Here is a 21,721-nt window from a genome sequence, read left to right on the forward strand (position 1 = left end):
TCCAGCTTCTGGTGGCTGCCAGCAGTCTTTGGCTTGTGGCCACACATGTGATTGCATTTAAGGCTCACCTGGATAATCTCCCCACCCAAAGATCCTTATTTAATTACTGTGCAAAGACCCTTTTTCTAAATAAAGTAACATTTACAGGTTGCAGAAATTAGGATTTGATATACTTGAGTGGCTATTATTCAACCTACTAGAAGGAGTTGAACAACTGGAGAGAGAATTTAAACATAGATTAAACATGCTATTAAGATAATGATGATATTTATAATAGTTCCAGAGAAGTTAGGGAGACAAAAGGAATCCACACTTTAACCAAAGGTTTTTTAGTTTACTCACCTGATAGTCTCTTAATACAGATTACTCTCCATTTGTAAAGGCTATGCTTTAAAGTGACTATTACTTCCCAGGTTTAATTTTTATTTTAAAACAGTGGATCTCAAATTTTATCATGAATCAGGATTATTGATCTGGGATGGGGTAATGGCAAAGAATGGATATTTGACTCATTTATGGTTATTTAATAATTTAATGATCTGGTGAAAAGGGTGAGAATATGTATATATGTATGACATTTTTATAAAATATTCTTTTATCCTTGGGTTATTAATATCTAATTTTTTATAATGCTTATTAACTCTTACAAAAATCATAATTCTTAAGAGGTAATACAGATGTATTATAGAATGTTCAATGCCAGTACTTTTTTCAAGCTAAATATATCTGTAAATATTTGTTTATCGATTCAAACTTTTTAAAAAACAAAAATGCCATTTTAAATAGTAGATCTCTTGGAGCTTACCGAAGCTATTGTTGAGCATTTGGAATTGCCTAGAAATTGACAATAGATTTTTCTAATAAAAATGTGACTAATGATGTAAAACCTTCTCACTTCCAAAATTAATCTGCAGTTCAATGTAAAGACCACAACTTTAGGAAAGAGTATAACTCTGCAACTGGCCAGCAAAGTTGCTTATCCTTATCGATCACATGGGATTAACAGTATTTATTCTTAGAATTTTTGTGAGGATTAAATGAGAGTACATACTTAAAGTTTCCAGCACAGAACCTAACCTGGATTTGATTCTTAAAAAAAAAAAAAAAAATTGTCAATTGTAGAAAAGGTCAATAGTTGCAGGGTCACAAGAAATAATTCACAAGTTCTAAGGATGTTCATTTCTTGTTGGAATTGTTAGCATCTCACACAATCTTAGAGGTCTCTAAATAGATATTAGATATTGATTATAATTAGTTCTTGAACAGAGGATCAGAGTAATGAAGTCATTGGTTCTACAAAGGTTTATGTCTTAATGAGTTTAGACATAATTTGACTTTGTTCTGCATAGAAAGCCCAAGTACACACTGTGAACTCTTTCTTACTGAATTTCACTGATATAGATCTTCTATTCAAATTTTTATGGTTATTTTAAACACTACATGTATGCTCTAAGTCATGAGTTAGAATCCAAATCTAGCCACAATCATGGACATAAAGAATATCACGTTTTCAATTTTATTTTCTATGCCATCCAAAAACACTGTAGCAGATTTAATTTTATTTTTCAATAAAATGTATTTGATCAGCAAAATAAAATAATCTAAGAAACATTAACTTTATAAACATACAAATGATCTTTACCCTGTGCTCAAAGCATTTTATTTCCTGAGAGTTACTGAACAATGTTTTCAGGCAATTTTAAATGAATTCACTTCACATAATATTGAATCTAGACTCTTTTCCAATGTATACAATGTTATATATTCTGAAGGGAAAATGACATTATTTTGATACATTTCATTTTAAGACTTAGTTCAGAAATTTTGTTTTGTACTATATGCATTTTGAATGTCTTAAGCATAGAGAAAAAAATTGAATGTTCTACTAGGGCAGATATTTAAGCATCTGAAGTTTAATCCAATTGTTAAATGCACAGGTTTAAGCATTACTTCTGAGAAAATAAAGGTATAGATTTACAAAGGCATAGATTTACAAAGGTAAAGGCATCAAATTCTCAAATTTTCTCCAGAAGGAGAACTTCTTACATAATGTAACACATTTTATTTAGAAATAAAATAAGTTGCCTAATTTCACTCACTGGAAGTGACGTAGCCAGGATTCAGTACATAAGTACCTTAGACTTTGGGATGCTCGCTCTTAACTACTTTAGTCTATATATCTTTTTCTTAAAGCCCTCAACTTGTGGCATTTATCTTACTAGATTTACTTTCACCATTTTTATATTGTTATAAACATTTGTGTGTGTGTGTGTGTGTGTGTGTGTGTGTGTGTAAAACTGAGATCTCACTTGCCTTTTCTTTTAAATTTTACCACTATCAACCTTTTATTTTCACTTCATTTACCTTAAAATTTTTGTTTGTCTACTTTTGTCCCCCCCCATGTTATTAGGCTATAGGAAACAACATTTCATGTGATTCATTAGAGAACATTTAATAGTTATTTAATAATAATCATAAAAGTAGAACCCTGAAGAATAAATGGGTCTTTATATAAAACATAAATATCTAAAAATAAGAAAATAGTTATGTAATCTGTATTGATGGATATATATATATATATATAAAATGGCTGAGGCATGGAGGGGATTTAATTAATGGCCATTATATATATATATATATGTATATATCCATAAACACAGATTTATAATTATTGCTTTATGAATTTATCTTTTAAACTGGACAGGAGATTTTAAAGAGTTACAAACAAAGCACACATATTGTGAATTCTCTCAGTTTTTATCTGTAAATTTCTTACTTAATTATGGATATATATATATATATAATGGTTAAGACATGGAGGGGATTTAATTAATGGCTTTTGATTAAAAGGGCAGTAACTAGAAATTTAAAAGTAATGTGAAAAATAAACACACACAAAAACCTTATAAACCATTATGAATACCATGGGAACAAAATAAAGTATTGGGAAAAATGGCAATGAGGAGGTAGAATGCTTTTATCTGAAAATTAGCTGAACATTTAAGGTATATGATCATAAAAGGAACAATCTCAATTAAAAAACAAAAATCTTCATGTATTGATAATATGATGTATATTGGTAAAATATTTATAATCTTGGTACAATTCTATTTTTGTTAAAATTTGAGGGATAACACAAAAGTTATAAACAATTTAAAACTTGAATATAAACTCAATAAATTGGAATTTTATTTGAAGTGTTAACATTGTTTATAATTGCATAATTTTATCCTTTGCTCCATGTAATTTGAAAAATAATTATCCTTCAGGATTTTATAAATAATAAGGGGTATGCAATTTTAAATCAAAGGACGTTCTCAAGGCACCTCACCCTTACTTTAGTATTCATGAGTAAGTAATTATACAAATGTTGTTGAATGAGCTTAGATAATTTACTAAAATCAAGAAAATTACTGCCAAAAAGTAATTAGTATTTCCAATGCTAAATGAAATAAAAGTGTCTTTTTCAAATATTGTTTCATATTCAGAAAGTCAGGTTTCACCTTGGAAAATACATTTAGGATATGATTTATTTATTAAGAAATTGACCAAGCTCAAACTCATTAATTTGGTCATTGGGAATGACAGAATAAGAACCTTTCAAAAATCTGCTCCTCCATAAAAAAAAAAAAAAAATGGCAGTACTATCAAAGTAGTCAAAATATAGTTTTCCATAACTCTAGAAATTAATTGAAGTCTTAGAATAATTAGAGGAGTATTTATTCAAGAAAAATGGCTGGGTCTTGATAAGACCTCAAGCTTTGTGGTAGTTTAACTTCCTCTATTTCCGTCCCACTCTCCCTAGCTTGATCACAATCTTGAAAATCAATAGCTCTGCAATGGAGGTAGAAAATAGCTTATCGATCACTGCAGTGAGTAGAACAGATTTGGAGATCCTCCAAAGCATTATTCTCAATTAATTGTCATTAATTTTCTGGAGGTTCCCTGAAAACCCTTACTCACAGGACTTGTCCTTATTTTACCTGAATCAGCACTTATTCATTGCAAACAGCATTTTCACTGGAAATATTTGTGAAAAATCAGTGATAATAGTTTGACATTGTAGCTGCCTGAGGCGGAGCTATCAGGTGGGCAAATAAGAAGCTGACCAGAAATATTAAAAAGAAGAACTGGGGAAGGAGATGTTGTCATAGGTGTCTTTAGCTCTAACATGTTTAGAGCTGTCTAAACTTCTAAGTATTAAAGAGACACCCCAATACACATGCAGAGCCTGAGAAAACTGATTGGTTTGAGTAATTTAAGGATTTTTCTGTTCAAAAATTGGCTGACCACTAAGTTAATTGAGCAGAGATATCAGTGGCCAGTTTGGTAAAGAATATAGATTTTACAGAATTAGTCCAGGGAAGTCACTAAACAAACAACAACAACAAATGACAACACAGGAATAACAACAATACACCCTTGAGAAGGGGGCTCTAATTTCCAGAGTTGCCATGTTATATTATTTTAAATGCCCAGTTTTCAAAAAAATTATGAGACATGCAAATAAGAAACAATGGCCTCTACACAAGAATAAAGAAGTAGTAAATACAAACTATTTTTGAGGAAGCTGTGTTAGACTTACTAGTTAAATATTTTAAATTAACTATTTTTAATATGTTCAAAAACTAAGGGAATCCATGTCTAAGAATTGAAGGAAAATGTGTAAGCAATGTCTCCTCAAATTTAGAATACTAATAAACACTAGAGTTGAAAAGTACAATAATTGAAATGAATTCACGAGAGGTACTGAAGCAGATTTGAGTTGTCAGAAAGAGTCAGCAAACTTGAATATTGGTCCATTGAGATCATCCACCTTGAGGAACAAACAGAAAAGAAATGAATAAAAATTAAGCAAGCCTTAGAGACTTATGTGACACCATAAAATGTACAAACATATGCACAATGTAAATTCTAGAAGGAGCAGAGGTGGGGAAAAAGAGGCAAAATAATATTTCAAGAAATAATCATTAAAAACTTTCAAAATTTTATAAAAAACAGCAACCTACACAGCCAGGAAAGCCCATGAACTCCAAGTAGAATATACTAAAAGATATTCAGATCTAGGCATATAATAATCAAACTATAGAAAGAGAAAGAGAACTTTGAAAGCAGCAAGAGAGCAGCAACTCATCAACATGAGAATCCTAAATTGGATTTAACAGCTGATTTCTCATCAGAATCCATGGAGGTAATAAGGCACTGATGTGACACATTTAAAGTAAATTTTTAATGATTGTCAACCAAGAATTCTAAGTCCATTGAAACCGTTATTCAAAAGTGAAGGAAAAAGTAAGAAATTTACAGATTAAAACTGAGAGAATTCACCCTGCAATACTAGAAGACACCCTAAAATAATTTCTTAGAAAACTCTTAACTAAAAGGGAGTCCTTCACATTTCAAGGAAAGGACACTAAAAAGTAAATTGAATTCACATGAGAAAATAAAGAGCATCAGTAAAGGTAACTATAAGGGAAACATAAAGTACAATATGTGTGTTTTGTTTGTAACTCTTTAAAATCTCCTATCTAGTTTAAAAGACAAATTCATAAAGCAATAATTATAAACTTGTGTTGATGGATATATACATAAATTTATATGACAGAAACACAAAGGAACAGGAAATAAATGGAGACATATAGAACCAAAGTTTTTGTATATTACTGAAGTTAAGTTGGTATTAATTCAAACTAGAGGGTTATTGGTTAAAATATTAATTGTAATCCCAGGGAAACCACAAAAAGCTCAAAAAATGTATAAAAAATGACAAGATAGGTTAGAAAATATTTAATATAAAATAAAGCATTAGTGGAGGATAGAGAAACAAAAAATAAAAAAGCCACAGAAAACAAATAGTAAAATAGCCGATGTAAATCTTGTCAATAAGTATATTAAGTATAAATAGATTAATTATTCCATCTAAAGGCAGAAATTGGCATAACAGATTAAAAAAACATGATCTAACTATATATCCTCTATAGGAGATTTACTTTAGATTCAAAGACTCAAATAGATTATATGTAAAAGGATAGAAAAATATACTCCAAGCAAATAGTAAACAAAGAAGAGCTTGAGTGGCTATATTAATCTAAGATAAAATAGACTTTAGACACAATTATTGTAAGAGATAAGGATGTTGATAATGATAGAAGGCTCAATCCACCAAGAACATACAGCAATAAAAACATATATCAACCAAAAAACAGTGCCTTATGATAGCAACCTTAAGAGAACTGGAATAACTAACTATATCAGAAAAATTGACTTTAAACAAGAAATGTTATTATAGAGAAGAGCAGATATTTCATAATGATAAAAAGCTCAATCTATCAAGAATGAGCAAGAATTTACATATATGGCTCTAACAACAACTCTAATATACATGCAGCAAAATACTACACAACTGAATGGAGAAATAGACAATTCAGCTATAATAGTTATACACTTCAGTATTCCATTTATAATAATGGATAGAACAAATAGACAAGGGATGAACAATTAAATACAATACTGGAATAACACCATAGACCAACTAGACCTAACAGACGTCTGTAGAATGCCCAACAACCACAGAATATACATCTGTCTAAAGTGTACATGGAACATTCTCTAGTATAGACCATATGTTTAGCCATAAAACAAATATAAAAAATATAAAATGATTGAAATAACACAAAGCACATTACCTGAATAGAAGGGAATAAAATTAGAAACCAATAATGGAAAGGATTTGGGAAATTTATAAATACGTAAAAATTAACTTTGAGGTGAATATAAAAGATAATAAAACATACCAAAACTTACAGGACACAGCTAAAGTAGTGCTTAGAGAAAAATTTATACCTGAAAATGCCTTTCCTAAAAAAGAGAAAAAGATCTTAAATCTATAACCTAAGCAGCCACCTTAATAAATTAAAAAAGTGACCATAAACTAAACCCTCCAAAAGTAGACAAAAGTAAGAATTAGTAGTGGAAATAAATAAGATAGAAATATTTTACAAGTAGCAAAAAGAAATGAAACCAGAATTTGGTTCCTTAAAAAGATCACCAAAATTGACAAATTTCTAGCTAGATTTACCAAGAAACAAATAGAAAATACTTAAATTACTAAAATCAGTAATGAAAGAGAGGAGTTATTACAGAAATAAAAAGAATTATGAGAGAATACTATGAACCATTGTATGATAATGCTTTAGATAACTTAGATGAAGTGGAAAATTCCTAGAAAGAAACTACAAAAACTGACTCAAGAAAAGATAGTAATTCTAAATAGTCCTACAAGAATTAAACTGACCCACCTACCCCCTTTCCCCGCCCAAACAAAACCATCACAGATGGCTTAACTGATCAGTTCTACCAAATTTTAACCAAGATTTAATATCCATCCTTCATAAACTCTTATGAAAAATAGGAGAAGAGAATATTTCCGAACTTGTTTTATGAGATCAATATTACTCTGATACTTAAACCAGACAAAGACACCATGAGAAAACTATGGACAAATATCCTCTGTGAATATAGATTAAAAAGTCTTCAACAAAATACTAGCAAACCAAATCTGGCAACATGTACATTGTATTACACAATATGAAAAAAGTGGGATTTATTTCAGAAGCAAAAGATTGATTCACACATGAAAATCAATCAGTGTAATTCACCATATTAATAGAATAATTAATGAAAGCTGCGTGCTTATTTAATATATGCAGAAAAGGTATTTAACAGAATCCAATATCCTTTCATAATAAGAACACTCAACAGCCTAGGATCTCCAATGAGGTAAGAGCATCTACACAAAACCCACAGCTAACAGCATGCTTAATGGTAAAAGATTGAAGATTTCTCCTTAAGATCAGGAACAAGACAAGGATGTACACTCTGACGCGTTGTATTCAACACTATACTTAAGGTTCTACCCAAGGCAATTAGATAAGAAAATAATGTCATCCAGATTGAAAAGGAAGAAGTAAAATTATTTCTGTATGAAGATAACATGATTCTAAAAGCCTAAGAAATCCACCAAAAGTGATTAGAACTAATAAGTGAGTTTAGCAAGCTTTTCCAGATACAAGGTCAATATACAGATTGTATGCTTATGATTTTTTAAGTAAAAGTTTTGTTATAGTAAAAGTGGTAGATCTAAATTCACAAAGTTATAAATGTTATAGATTTGTAAAGAAATTGTGAGGAATCCATATGTTTGCATACTGTGGAATCATTAAAAATAAGTAGAATCTGTATGCTTACTGAGATACAAAAATTATCAGATTACTGATATTAAGTATAAACATGTGGTAGATTAATTGCACTTATAGCCCCATTTCTTTTCTTTCTGCATTTAATCAATTGTGATGTTCCTTTGCAAAGGGACCCCACCCTTTGTAATTTACCTTGGTGAGAGAATTAGGCAGAAGTGTTAGTGTGCCAGTTCTTAGTCTTTAGGTAATTTTGCATAATTCCACTTGCTCCCTCTTGCATGTCTGTGATTGCAACCTGAAGAGCATGCTCAGATTAGCTCACACTGGTCTCAATTCACCTCAGCTGAATTCAACCTAGATCCAAAGACTCTAAACCCCAAGAAGAATAAGCACGCTAAGAGGAGGTTGGCAGAGCTGTTCATCCCTGAGCAGCTGAACCCTGAGATGCTCAAGAAATAAATGTTCATTATGTATGCTACTGAGTTTCTGAGTGATTTGTATCCCAGAAAAAGCTAAAGCATATGGACCTATTTTAGTAAGAAAAATATGCATATGGTCAAGCATGACAAAACATGTTTAGCGAGGTAAAGCAAATGATTAACTGTGGTTATTTTAGCATTATGAGTATGAGTAATTTTATTTTTTCTGGATAATCATGTATTATTTTGCTATGGTGGAATTTTCAATAAAAATGATAATAGGTTAAAATTGTTTATCTTCCTTTTTAAAGGGAATAAATCAGTGTTGAAAGTTTATTACTCCAAATTAAAATTTTTCCTTAGAAAGTTTGAAATGGTTTCTGACTCTGAGTAAGCTTAAAGTGATAGAAATAAAGGTATATAAATAAACTATTTAATATTATAATGCTTAGATTTAGTGGCTTTTACTGACTCTATTTTGGGCTATATAAAAATCTGAAAGTATTGTATGGAATTGAAATACAGATTTTAGTTTCCTCTATTTTCTTACCAAAATGTGAATAGTGTGTTTTTTTGCCATTAAAAATGTTATCCAACTTCTTCATGGATAAAAAGTAATTTTTCCAGGAATATTCTCTTTGAAAAAGTTAAAACAATGTTTTGAAATGCACCTACAGTACTTAGTGGATGATATTTGAGACAACGGCAGAATATCTTTGCTTTTGATCTAAAACAGGCGAGATGAATTCATCCATAGCTCTAAAATGTGCCTTGGGAGCCTTGTAGGTTTTGTAGTGTTAAATTGCTTTCACAGATGACTGTTAAAGTCTGAGAAAATTTAGAAGTTATATTTCACATTTCTCTTTTCCTCAGTCTTCACATCCAATCCATCAGCAAGTCCTGACGCTACTTTTCTTCACCTCCACTTTTATCATGATATTGTCAAAATATAATTTTTAAAGTTAGAAACAGGACTTTCTTACAAATGTCAAGTAAGCATATGCCAAACATTGATTTAAATCATTATTAAAGGAGTCAGCAGGATGATAAAGGTAGTTCAAGGGGCATTTGGAGAACAGAGACTGTTAGGAAAGGTATACTGAAATAAATTTGCTAGGTTGGGCACAAAACTGGTTAATACCTTGCAGAGCAATAAAGTATAACCTTTCTTCTGGAAAGAAATTATATATCTCCAATGGACAAAAACTACAAATGAACATATAACATTACAGAGTCCTAGCTTTAATCAATAGTAAACAGCAAAGCAAGCAAGGGTACATACTAGGGAATTAAATTATTCTTGGGTGATCCTGTTAGATAATGTCCTAGTATGACACTGAAATAACATGCAGATATTATTAGCAATTTTGGGTAATTTTTTTTAACAGTTCTCCATTGTTATTATAAATAACCTTAATCACAAATAAAGGCCAGCCTTCTGGTGTTTGGGCCTAATTGACACAGATTGGGAAAAGGTATTAATAACTACATAAACTTTTTTATAGTATGGTCAGCAAGTATAGTCATTCAGTTTTGAGCAACTCTTATCGTCAGAGAATTAATTTCTTTCTAGAATTCAAGACATATCTTCATGTGGCCTTGGACCAACTCAGTTCTCCCTCATTTCTCCTGTAGTTCTCAAGGATAATTGTAGAATGTAGAATGTGCTGGGAATGCAACATTCTGAGACAAAGGGGGAAAAAGCCTGGCTCTGTTCCTGTTTCTCAGAGAAATAGGATTTTCTTGAATGCTTTATCCCAGCATGTTGTGTTTCTCCAGAGGTATAAAACCCAGGTGGGCTCCCTCAGCTGTGGTGCAAGTGAGGCACATGTGGACAAGATTTCACCTATCCCGGACAGCTTTTCTGATGAGTCTTAAAAAGCCAGCTTGCCCTTGAATCCTAGGCTTCTGGGTTATTTACTGCCTACTTATGAGTAATAAATTTGCTTTGCTTAATTTGTTGTGTGAATGCTCCTTCTCATTGGACTTGTGCAAATAGTAGAAATTGCAGCCCAAGATGCAGTAAGCTGTAATTGTAACCAGTGCACAGAGAACATTGCATGTGGAAAACACTGAAAATAATAAGAATATACTAAAATAAATTGTATCGGATGAAATATAACTACAAATTCTTTTCTTTTCTGTTTTTTTCATCAAGTCTTTGCTTCCTCCACTTAAACTTGGATTGGTCTTGTGACTTTCTTTAACCAACACAATTAAGCAGAAATGGTGGTTCTGTGTCTGTCTTTGCACTACTATATCATTCTGGAACCATGTCTGACATAGCATAGGTCCTCAAAATAAATATTTACTGAATAAATGAATAAAAATATAATGATGTTTGTTTTAACACTATTTGCCCTGTTGACAAGTGAGTTATCAAGACGTATACATTTTACTGAAAGGAAACTACATGTTTTACCTCTGTACTAAGACGTTTTCTAAATAAAACTTCTTACTAGAGCAAGCAGTATCCTCCTGTTTTTATGAGTCACCCTCTCTCCCAGAAGTTCAGAATTCTTGTGCTGGCTGTTCTACATCATAGCAGCAGCCTATGTTGAGTTCTTTACTAGTGGTGTCCCACTGTCTTTTAAAATACATTCCTTGTTTTTATTTAAACCCCTGGAAGTCTCTGCCATGGCATGACGAGTAATAATAAGTTTATCAGATAAATCAATCTCTGTCTCTGTATTAACCATGTAAGAGAAAACACAGAATAAAGATTAGGGGTTTGGAATCAGAAAGATTCTGATGTGAGTTATAACACTCAAGTTCAGCTAGTAAGGGTGGTGAATTTAGACCAGTATGAATTTAGACCATTATTTTATTTCTTGAGACTCATATGTAAATTGGGGAACATAATACTACCTAGTAAGGTGTTATAAGGATTAAAAGGAGCTATGTATATATAGTTTCTATTGTATAGTAAAGGGTTAACTTATTGTGGCTATTATAGGAACTGATTTTTCCCCAAATATCATATTGCCTTTTAGTAGATGTCTCCAAAAGAAGTTGAAAACTGTAATTGTGAGAGATAGGAGAGATCTTGGGTTAGGTGCCTCTTTCTAGATAGCCATTTCCATCTCCTTCTCCTAGGGCTAACACTGCTTACTTTTAAAAAAGACACTTCCAGACATAAATGGTGAATTTTTGAACTATGGTTAACTAATTCTAGCCAAACAGTTAAATTCTATTTCCAGGAATTCCTGTGATATTTGTATCTGCAGTAAATTAAGAATTATAAAATCTGAAATCATATTTATGGTAGCTGTTTTACAGTTCTGCTTCTATAATACATAAGCTTGATAGAATCTCTTGATGTGATTTTTTCTAAGCCCTACCGCTCAAATAATCATTTACTACTGTGACAATCTACGTGTCTAGAAGAGTTTTAAATATGGATTGTTTAACAAGTTTCCCCTATTCTAACAAGCATTCTTCTTTTGTAGATTCTGCAGAAATGGAATCTGAACAGATCACCTTGAACGTATGAGGTTCAGGTGAAGAGCTGGATGAGGAGTAATTTAAAGCATGTTGAATTAACAAATAGCAAAACAGACAGATAATATTCTTTGGTCCTTGTGAAAAAGTAGTTATAAAAAGATTTTTCCTAATTCCTGAAGTTTCTATTATTTAAAAATGAACTAAAATCTTAGAACCCATTTCAGGTTACTTGGTTCATCTGGTCTCAGCTCAAAAAAGATGTTATCACTACTCCTTCAATAGCAAATTAACTCTTACTTGCTAGAGATATATATTTATAATTGAACTTCCTTTTATTGAAATTAGCTTCTGCAGAATCACAGCTGATGAATTCATCTTATTTCTTTTTTCTTTTCTTTCTTTTTCTTCTTTTTTTTTTTCTGAGACAGTGTCTCACTCTGTAACTCAGGCTGGAGAGCAGTGTCATGATCACAACTCACTGCAGCTTCGACCTCAAGGGGCTCAGATGATCCTCCCGATCCTCCCACCTCAACCTCCTGGGTAGCTGAGACTACAGGCACACACCACCACACCTGGCTAATTTTTATACTATTTTGTAGAGACAGGGTTTCTCCATGTTGCCGAGGCTGGTCTCAAATTTGTGGGCTCAAGCCATCCGCCTGTCTCGGCTTCCCAAAGTGATGGGATTACAGGTGTGAGCCACTGCACCTGGCTTTGAATTCATCTTCTATTACTATATTCTACAATTAAGAGTTTAGTTTTGAGGTTAGGTTTTATTTTTTTCACCCATAAAATTTAGAACATGGATTGTTAAACAGCACATTTGGAGTGCTTGCTGTTGAAACATATTGACTTCACTTTAGAAAGGGTAATTTAGGCTCTTTTGCTCTCCTGGTTTTTGGTTATGGCATTAAAGTTATGCTTTCATGCTGTGAAGATTTAATTAGTATTACAGTGAATATAACCAATGTTGATATTCAGATTACCCTCATATTTTCTCCCTCAACAATTATTGGGGAGCTATACTGGAAATCACATGAACTCATTACCTGTATTTGGTTTAGGAATAGCCTAACATTGTTTAAAAGAGAATGGCTTTAGAGTGCTCAAATTTTCCATAAAACTCTGTGTGCTCCATTTAAAAGAATCAGCTGTTCTACTTTTGTATGAGCTGTCCTCTGCTATGCTTACTCTGGTGGCAGGAATCACCTTTCTAAGGTGACACAGAGGCAGTAAAAGCCATTCGGTCAGTGCCAGTGATGTTCAGGTTACGTCTGTGACTGATCTCATCATTTTCAGTGCTTTATTCTTGAAATCCATTATCCATTCAGTAATATCATAACATTGGGGGAAAAAACTATTTCCTTTTGGGCTTCAACAGAATAAATTAAAATTATTTAGTTTGTATGTATCTGAAAGATATCCTAACAGGTCTGGCTAACTAAGTCAGCTTTTGTCACTCAACCAGCACACAGTCTTTACTATTTACAGCATTTGTAGCTTTTTTTTTTTTTCAGTCATTTCTTATAAATTAACCAGATCATAAAAAGCCTCAATGTTTAAAAATGTTATTTTGCTTTAAAAAGTCAATGTTTAAAAAGTTATTTTGCTTCAATTGCTTTTTAGTAAAGATAATAATACTGTAGTTGACTCTGAAAGTTTTCTGATACCTAAAAGCCTGTCACAATGCAAATCAAACTATGTGAATCTGTTTCCAAAATAAAGTCAAAATAAAAGAAGCAAGCCACTCAGTAGAGATTCAAGGTGGGGCTTAGGGGAATTTTAGACTTTTCCCAGTTTCCACTGGCACTTTTCACCTCACCTATGCACCCGAATACATATTCACAGAGATGACTTCATCAATAACTTTCCTTCTCTTGTGTAAAATATTATGCAATGCTCCATCAAAGCTAGTATTCTAATCTCATCCCCTTCCTACATTTCTTCTTCATAAAAATTTGGTAACTTCCGCTGATATCACCCTCAGTTTCCTCCTATGTGGTCTGAAGACATTGAACTCGATGGCACATGATCTGTTACGTCTTTACATTTCTATTATAAATGTTTTCATCCAGTGGTATGTCCAGATGAATAATGAGATTGAAGTGAGTTAAATAGTAAATGTAAAGTTTTCTGCAAAAAGTATATATGTGTAGGAAGTGTACACTGATGTTATTTCAGTGGTTTCTCATCCCTGAACTTGGAAGTGTTCTCTTTCTAGGTGGTGAACACTATACTAGTTATTGACTGCAATGAAACAAACATAGGAAACACATTTGTTTAAGGATATCACTTTCTACTGGAGAAGAAAGGACAAATACAAACACTGTACATTGGATTACGAGACAGCAAAGAAGACTGGCCTGATATATATAAAACATGGTTCTTGTTCGTAAGAGATACTTAATAAACATATTTGTTTATTTAATATTTTGGAGACATATATTTTGATTATTTTTTGTGTTCTGTATCCCAGAAAATGATATCATTATCCCGCTTACTCAAACTAGAACCCTGGATTTCTTTGCTCTTTATTTCCTCCTTGTTCTTGCTTATTCTCCATAAGCATTCAATCACCTGCTGAACTTGTCTACTTCTTGCATCCCCACTCTACGACCATAGTTCAAACTATTATTATTTCACTCCTAAATTATTGCAAAAGCTTAGCGCAGTTTATCTCGTTCCTTTTCTGATATTCTTCAATTTATCTTCTAAGCTTCATTCATACTAAATTTTTTTTCAGTTTTTAGAATTCCCCATGTTTTCTTATTTTTATATTTCTATACCTCTTGGTTTTTTTTTTTTGTTACTAAGATACCATATCCCCTTCTTATGGTAAATTCGTTAACTTAGATATGACTTATTTCTAATATTTTTTGAGCTCTAAGATCTGGGTTAGGTGTCTTTCCTACATTCTTGTACACAAAATTGCACTACCTCTATAGTTATTGTCCCCAGATTACATTTTAATTGTCTGTTTGTATATTTGTATCAGTAACTACACCACAAACCCTCTGAGACCTAAAAATCTGTTTTGTCTAGTATTGTATCTTTAGCATATACAATTAAACCTGATATTCAGTAATCATTGATTGAACTGATAGATAGAGGATGAGGGTTGGCAAACTATGAGCTGTGGGCCAGCCAGCCATTTTTGTAAATAAATTTTTATTGGAACACAGTCATGCCCATTAGTGTATGAATTTTCTGTGGCTTTTTAGCACTACAGTAGCAGAGATACAAATTGGAGCAGACACTCTATGATCTGCAAATCTGAAATATTTACCATAAAAAGTTTGGTGACCATTGTTACGGGGCTATGCAAGTTTTTTATTTCTTCTTGAGGGAGCTATGGCAGTTTGTATCTTTCAAGAAATTTTCTCTTTCAAACTAAATTATCAAATTTATTAACATAAATTTGTTCAAAATATTCCTAAATTATTCTTTTTAATATCTGAGGGTCTGCAGTGATTCTCCTTTTATATCCCCAATATTTATAATTTGTGTGTTCTCTGTTTTTTCATAATTAATTTGACTAGAAGTTTATCAAATGTTTTGGTCTTTTAAAATAGCTAGATTTTAGTTTCAATGATCTCATTAACTTTTTCTGTTTTCAGTCTCACTGATGTAAGCTTTTATATTTATTATTTTATTCGTTCTGCTTGCTTAGGGTATAATTTGCTCTCTATTTCTAGTTTTTTTTTTTTTTTAAGGATATTTATCTTGCTTGGAGTTCCATGAGTGTCTTATCTATAGTTTGTTGTTTTTCATCACTTTTAGACAATTCTGAGCCATTAGGTTTTCAAATTTTCTTCTATTCTGTTCACTTTTTCATTTTGGATGTCAATTGCACATATGTTGGACCATTTGATGTAGTCACACGGTTCTTGGATGCTCTTTTCTCTTATTTTTCCTCTATTCCTTTTCTGTGTTTCTTTGTGTAATACTAATGTTTAAATTGGTAGGATTTTAATACAGCAGATTACTATCTGAAATGTGGGTGGGCCCCATTCACTCAGCTGAAGGACTTAAGAAAACAAAAAATGACTGAGATCCTTTGAGGAAGAGGAAATTATGCCTCCAGATTGCCTGTGGACTTGAATTGCAAAATAAATTCTTCTCTGGGTCCCCAGCCTTCTGGCCTGCTCTTCAGATTTCAGACTTGCCAGCCCCCACAATTGCATGAATCAAGTACTTAAAATTAATCCTATTAATTCTTTTTCTCTGGAGAATCCCAACTAATGCAAGCCAACACAAACCCACCACCTAATCCCTGAGTCAGTGGTACATATTTTAGGTGTTTGTTACAGTAGCATCTCATTTCCCGTGCCAATTTCTGTTTCATTTACCTATTTCTGTGAATCATCTCGAAATTTAGGAGATTAAAATAATAACCATTTTACTTGCTCACAATTTGCATGTCAAAAATTTGGGTAAGGCAGGCCTGGATTATCTCTGCTCTGTGATATCTAAGACTTCATTTTGAGTGACTCAAATGGATGGAGGATATTGGAATGGTTTGATTTAGACCATGTGTCTGTGGCCTTAGTCTCGGATGACAGGTACATTGCTTCATTCTCTTTTATATATCAATGTGTCTAACTTGAACATCTTCACTGCATAGCCATTTCAGTGTCTCAAAAAGATTTCAATATACAAGCACTTACCAAGACTCTGCTCACATCATATTTGCTATATTGGTCTGCTCAAGCTTCCATAACAAAAGGCCACAGGTAAAGTGGTGTAAACAAAAGAAATTTATTTCTCACTGTTCTGGAGTCTGGAAGTCTGAGATCAAGGTACCCTCAAGGTTGGTTTCTCTTGAGCCCTCTTTCCTTGTCTTTCCATCCTCTCTCTGTGTCCTCACATGACTTTTTCTCTGTGCACTCACATCCCTGGTATCTTTTTCTCTTCTCATAAGGACACTAGTCCTATTTGAATAAGGCCCCACAGTCTAGGCTCCAGAAGAGAGAAAAATAAATTGCTACTGTTTGTATATTATCTTGTCTAAAGTATTTTGTTATAGTATTCCAAGTGGACTAAGATACTTTTGTAAAGGCTCAGTCTTCAAATATAGTTACATTGTGGGTTAGGGCTTCAACCTGCAAATTTTGGAGAGCTGGTATAATTCAGTCCATAATATTTTCCAGTGTCCCATTTGGCAAAGCAGGATACATGGCCAAGCCCAGAGTCAACTTGGAAGGTAGACCAGTATACTGGGGGCAGGAAGACTGGAGATGTGGTGCAATAGGTTTCCATCAATATTGTGCCAATTGGAGAAAGATGTATTTACAGCTCAGAGAAACAGCTGCTTTCTGACAATCATTTTATTTATTTATTTTTTACATAATTGCTTTTGTGGTCTCCTTTTCTGCAATGTCAGTCAGCGCAACGTATCTTATTTACCTTTGTAATTGCTTCACAGGGTACACATTAACCTACTACTCATAGGTCAAAAATGTCCTATCAAGCAATTTATTTAAAGAGGGGAGCAATGAGGAAGTTAATAGATTTTTAAAGCAAATTAAAACTCTCTTGTTGCCATTACAGTGTGAGAGATTAAATAAGTACCTCTTCATATTTCACTCACAGAAATTATCCTAAATGATTTGGTCAAATTTTAAATTTGTGGAAAAGTGTAATTCAACGTCCTGGCCAAAGACTACCAAGAACACATCTGTATTTGAGCAAGGTGGGTTTATTATTTATTGCAGTGAAGGAGAATGGACATCACAACAAACCATTGGGGTATTTTAGTCAGGATGTTATACGAGAGTTACTTCAGCCTGGGCAACAGGGTGATACCCCATCTCTACCAACAATAAAAAATTAGCTATACATGATGGCGTGCACCTGTGGGCCCAGCTACTCAGGCGGCTGAGGTAGGAGAATCACTTGAGCCCAGGTCGTCAAGGCTGTTGTGAACCATGTTTGTGTCACTGCACTCCAGCCTGGGCAACAGAGCATGACCCTGTCAAAAAAAAAAAAAGCGAGTTACTACTGGATTTCAGCTTTGGTTTGGTGATTTGGGGAAGGGCCCAAGGAATTGAGGGTTTGGTATAGATTGGGTGTTGTCCAAAAATGGGTAACATGGAAATGAGGACTCCTCTCTGTACTTAATGTACCTAATCATCAGGTACTAAACAGATCATATCTTTAAACCTGTGATTGATAAAGCATTCGTATTAGCTGGGAATGGGGAATGTTTGGGATTTTGCACTTGAACAATGTTCATATTTTCTGTGTTCAAACATCATTACAAAGTGGTCTTGTTTTGCCTTGATCTATCATGGTCAGAGAGTAGTCTTGTCTAGTGTTAATGTTCTGTGAAACTTCATGTTCAATAGGAGAGCACCAAGGCTAGCTGTCTGTATGTCAGGGGCTGCGTTTTCTTTCTAGCTAATGTTATTTCATTCTAGATCAGTTGGGAACATAATAGAAACTGCTGTTTCAATATGTTCCAAGTAAATCTTTCATATGACAAATAAGAAACTATTTGGAGTTTATCTGCGTTAGTTCCATGTTTTATTCTTTTGATTTCCTGGCTTTGACATCGAGTGAGTTTCATGAAATCCATAGGGGAAATTCCTTCCAGGTTTGCACAGTCTGGATGGAGTACTTCTCCTTATTTTCAAGGAGTATATTTTGGAGATTCATACGTTATGTGGTGCTGCTTCTAGGCAAAATTTGAGCAAATCAAGGCTTTTTGTTGTGGTGGTGTTACAACATTCCTTGTTACTTTTCTCTCATATCATTCTGTGAGCACTCCCTTCTGTCACTCTAGGTAGTCAGAATCTAGACTCTGCCTCTGAAGCACCACCCTCAGCCTGTCCTTTTGAGCTGAGTGCTTTGGGCCTTTCCTCCTTAATTACCCATCAGGATATACTTGCCCTGCTCCATTTCCTTAGTTCCCACAGCTACATCAAAAATTTGGCTAACAAATCCTTGTTAATGCTTTATTACTTTTTTAACACTTCATGACAAATCCGATTTTATTGTGCCTTCCTGGAAAAAAATCTTTTGACTTCAAAATACGAAGCCTTTCTGGACTGGAAGTATATGAGTTATTTGGGTCAAACAGATCACTTTTCTCCCCCTCAAATTTCCCAAACAAAGCTGGTGGCTTTCTATCCTGTTCGTTCTGGTTGCTGACTATTCTTTTTATACAAATCAGAGTAAGAGGATTTGCTTATTAATGTTCTGCCAGGCCTTGAACTATGAAACTAGCATCTTCATTCTGGGAAGGGTTTAAAGGACACTTTGTACTTTGGAATACCAGTTTCTTATAGGGGATAAAGGAAAGTATCTTTCATTATTTAATTACTTATTTTCAAACAATAATGTTTCTCTCTCTCTGAATCATATTTTTTTATTTGAGATACAGGATTATTCTGATTTTAGTAATAAGTGCAAATAGTTACTTAACTCAGCAGATGGTTACTATCATTTTCTTCAACAACAACAACAAAAAGATCTCTCTTATCAAAAAGAAAATGCTCTGTGGAGAGAATTCAAAGAAAAAATCATAATATTTATAGGATGATTAATTATTTTTATCAATTTGCCTTGACATCAAAGAGGATTTCACACATCCTGAGAATACCACATGGCCTCCCTAATTGTTAGATTTCTCTCCAGAGATGAAAAAATTTAAATAGTTTCACTACTGAGTAATTTATTTAACATGTGTGCTAGAATGATTTCCAGTGGTTATTGGAAGTTATCTCTTTGCAATATTAATTGCAGAAAAAGGCTTTCAACTGCTAATGTAGCAAAACAGATCAGGTGGTTCCCATCATTTGGAGTATGTGCTCTACTTGAGGGATGATGAATGGGCGGGGTACCTATCAAAGAATATATTAAAAGATGCATGTAATTCCTGACATTTCTAGGGAAGAAAGATGGCTTTACCATGGTTTTTATAAGAAGACTAAATAAATAAAAATGGGGACTTTAGGAGAGACAATTACTCAAATTTGAGTTTCAAAATACTTATTAATTAATGCAGAAAATTTGGGCAATACTAGTTAACGGTACAAAAATATAAACTTTATAATGCATTCATGAAAAGAATAAAGCTCAGAACTAACCTCCTAGACAAATGTAGGATGTCATGTAAAAATCTGCACCAAATTCAGGATTGCCTGTATTCAGGAAAATCTAGCTGTTAGAAGTAAATGGCAAAGATAATTTTTATCACAGCTTTTGGAGGAATTAACTACACTATGATCTTATTGGGACTAACCTCAAAGTGTATAATGATTTGTAATACAAAATTCTCCAGGTCAAACTATAACCAAACTCCAACTAACACTGTTGGTTACCTGTGCTAGGGTTCTCCAGAGAAAAAGAACAAATAGAATATATAGGAAGAGATTTATTATGAGAATTGGCTCACATAATTATGGAAGATGAGAAGTCTCATGATCTGCAAGTTGGAGACCCAGAAGAGCTGATGGTGTAATTTAGTCTAAGTTTGAAAATCCAAGAATCTGGTAAACCAATGGTGTAAATCCCAGTCGAAGAACAAGTAAAGACTGATGTTCCAGCTAAAGCAGGAAGACAGAAGCAAAAAGAGGTGAATTCATTTTTCCTTTACCTTTAGTTCTATTTAAGCCCTCAAGGAATTGAATGATGCCCAAACACATTAGGGAGGATAACCTACTTTACTGAGTCCATTGATTCAAACACTAGTTTCACCTGGAAACTCCTTCACATATAAATTCAGAAATATTGTTTAAACTGGACACCCCTGGTTCAGTTAAGTTGACACATAGAATTAATTATCATATAACCTTTTTTAAACAGGAATATTATTAATGATTTACTCCAACAAATTAATTTTCTCATGAAATCCACTCTATATTAAACTAAAGTTTATAAAGATTTACATTTTAAATAAAATTTACATTTTCTTTAGATAGATAAAATTATGAAACACTTTTACGTTGTTATGTGACATTTATTTATGTAATAAACTACATCCTCTGATTAATGAGTATGTCAAACATATTGTTACTTCACTTCTGGAATTCTAGTCTGAGGCACAAGGTTAATACTAATTTAACCTCAGAAACATATCCACTTTTGATAAAATATTCCATTTAGAAAAATGCCCCATATTCATTGAAGTCAACTGGTAAAAAAATATAGGTCATCAAATTGGAGAACACAGATCTTGTTAAAAACTGCTGCATTATAAAATTATATATATATATTTCATTATGTATTTTGAATTCTATCATTAAATTAAATTAGACTTCCAGAATGCTCCAATTTTGAATAGGAAGCTGCAGAAATATGTCTTCATCTAAACATTTTATTGATAGTGTATAGAGTTTTAGTGTCTTTGTGCTTCTTTTTTGCGTGGGCTTCTAGATGGTTCAAACCAAGTCCATATATATATATATATATATATATATATATGAATCTGGGGAACCAATGGTATAAATCACAGTCTGAAGACAGGTAAAGATTGTCATATACATACGTATATGTATATATATAATATATTATTTTTTTAGCTTCAAGAAGTGGAATTTTTAAGTGTGTAAAACACACACCAGCATTGTCAAACTATGTAGGCTCTCAAAGAAGATTACAGCACCTAAAGGGTCTATAAATGAAGGCATTTTAGTAGTTTTGATCGTTTAGTACTTT

At 32.8% G+C, this 21,721-nt stretch overlaps 2 long non-coding RNA genes across 4 annotated transcripts in view; one reads left to right on the plus strand and one right to left on the minus strand.

Annotated features, from left to right (window-relative positions):
• CALCRL-AS1 (CALCRL and TFPI antisense RNA 1) overlaps positions 1–21,721 on the plus strand; it is a 544,253-nt gene that overhangs the window by 136,478 nt on the left and 386,054 nt on the right. The gene's annotated exons all lie outside the window — the stretch shown is intronic.
• Positions 4,741–9,255, minus strand: LOC124906106 (uncharacterized). The gene is made up of 3 exons (XR_007087543.1): positions 9,168–9,255; positions 8,391–8,493; positions 4,741–4,816 (listed from the first exon to the last, which is right to left on the minus strand). It is a non-coding gene; the product is annotated as an uncharacterized LOC124906106 (long non-coding RNA).

Source organism: Homo sapiens, chromosome 2 (assembly GCF_000001405.40).
Source record: "Homo sapiens chromosome 2, GRCh38.p14 Primary Assembly".
In the NCBI taxonomy this organism is placed as follows: domain Eukaryota; kingdom Metazoa; phylum Chordata; class Mammalia; order Primates; family Hominidae; genus Homo; species Homo sapiens.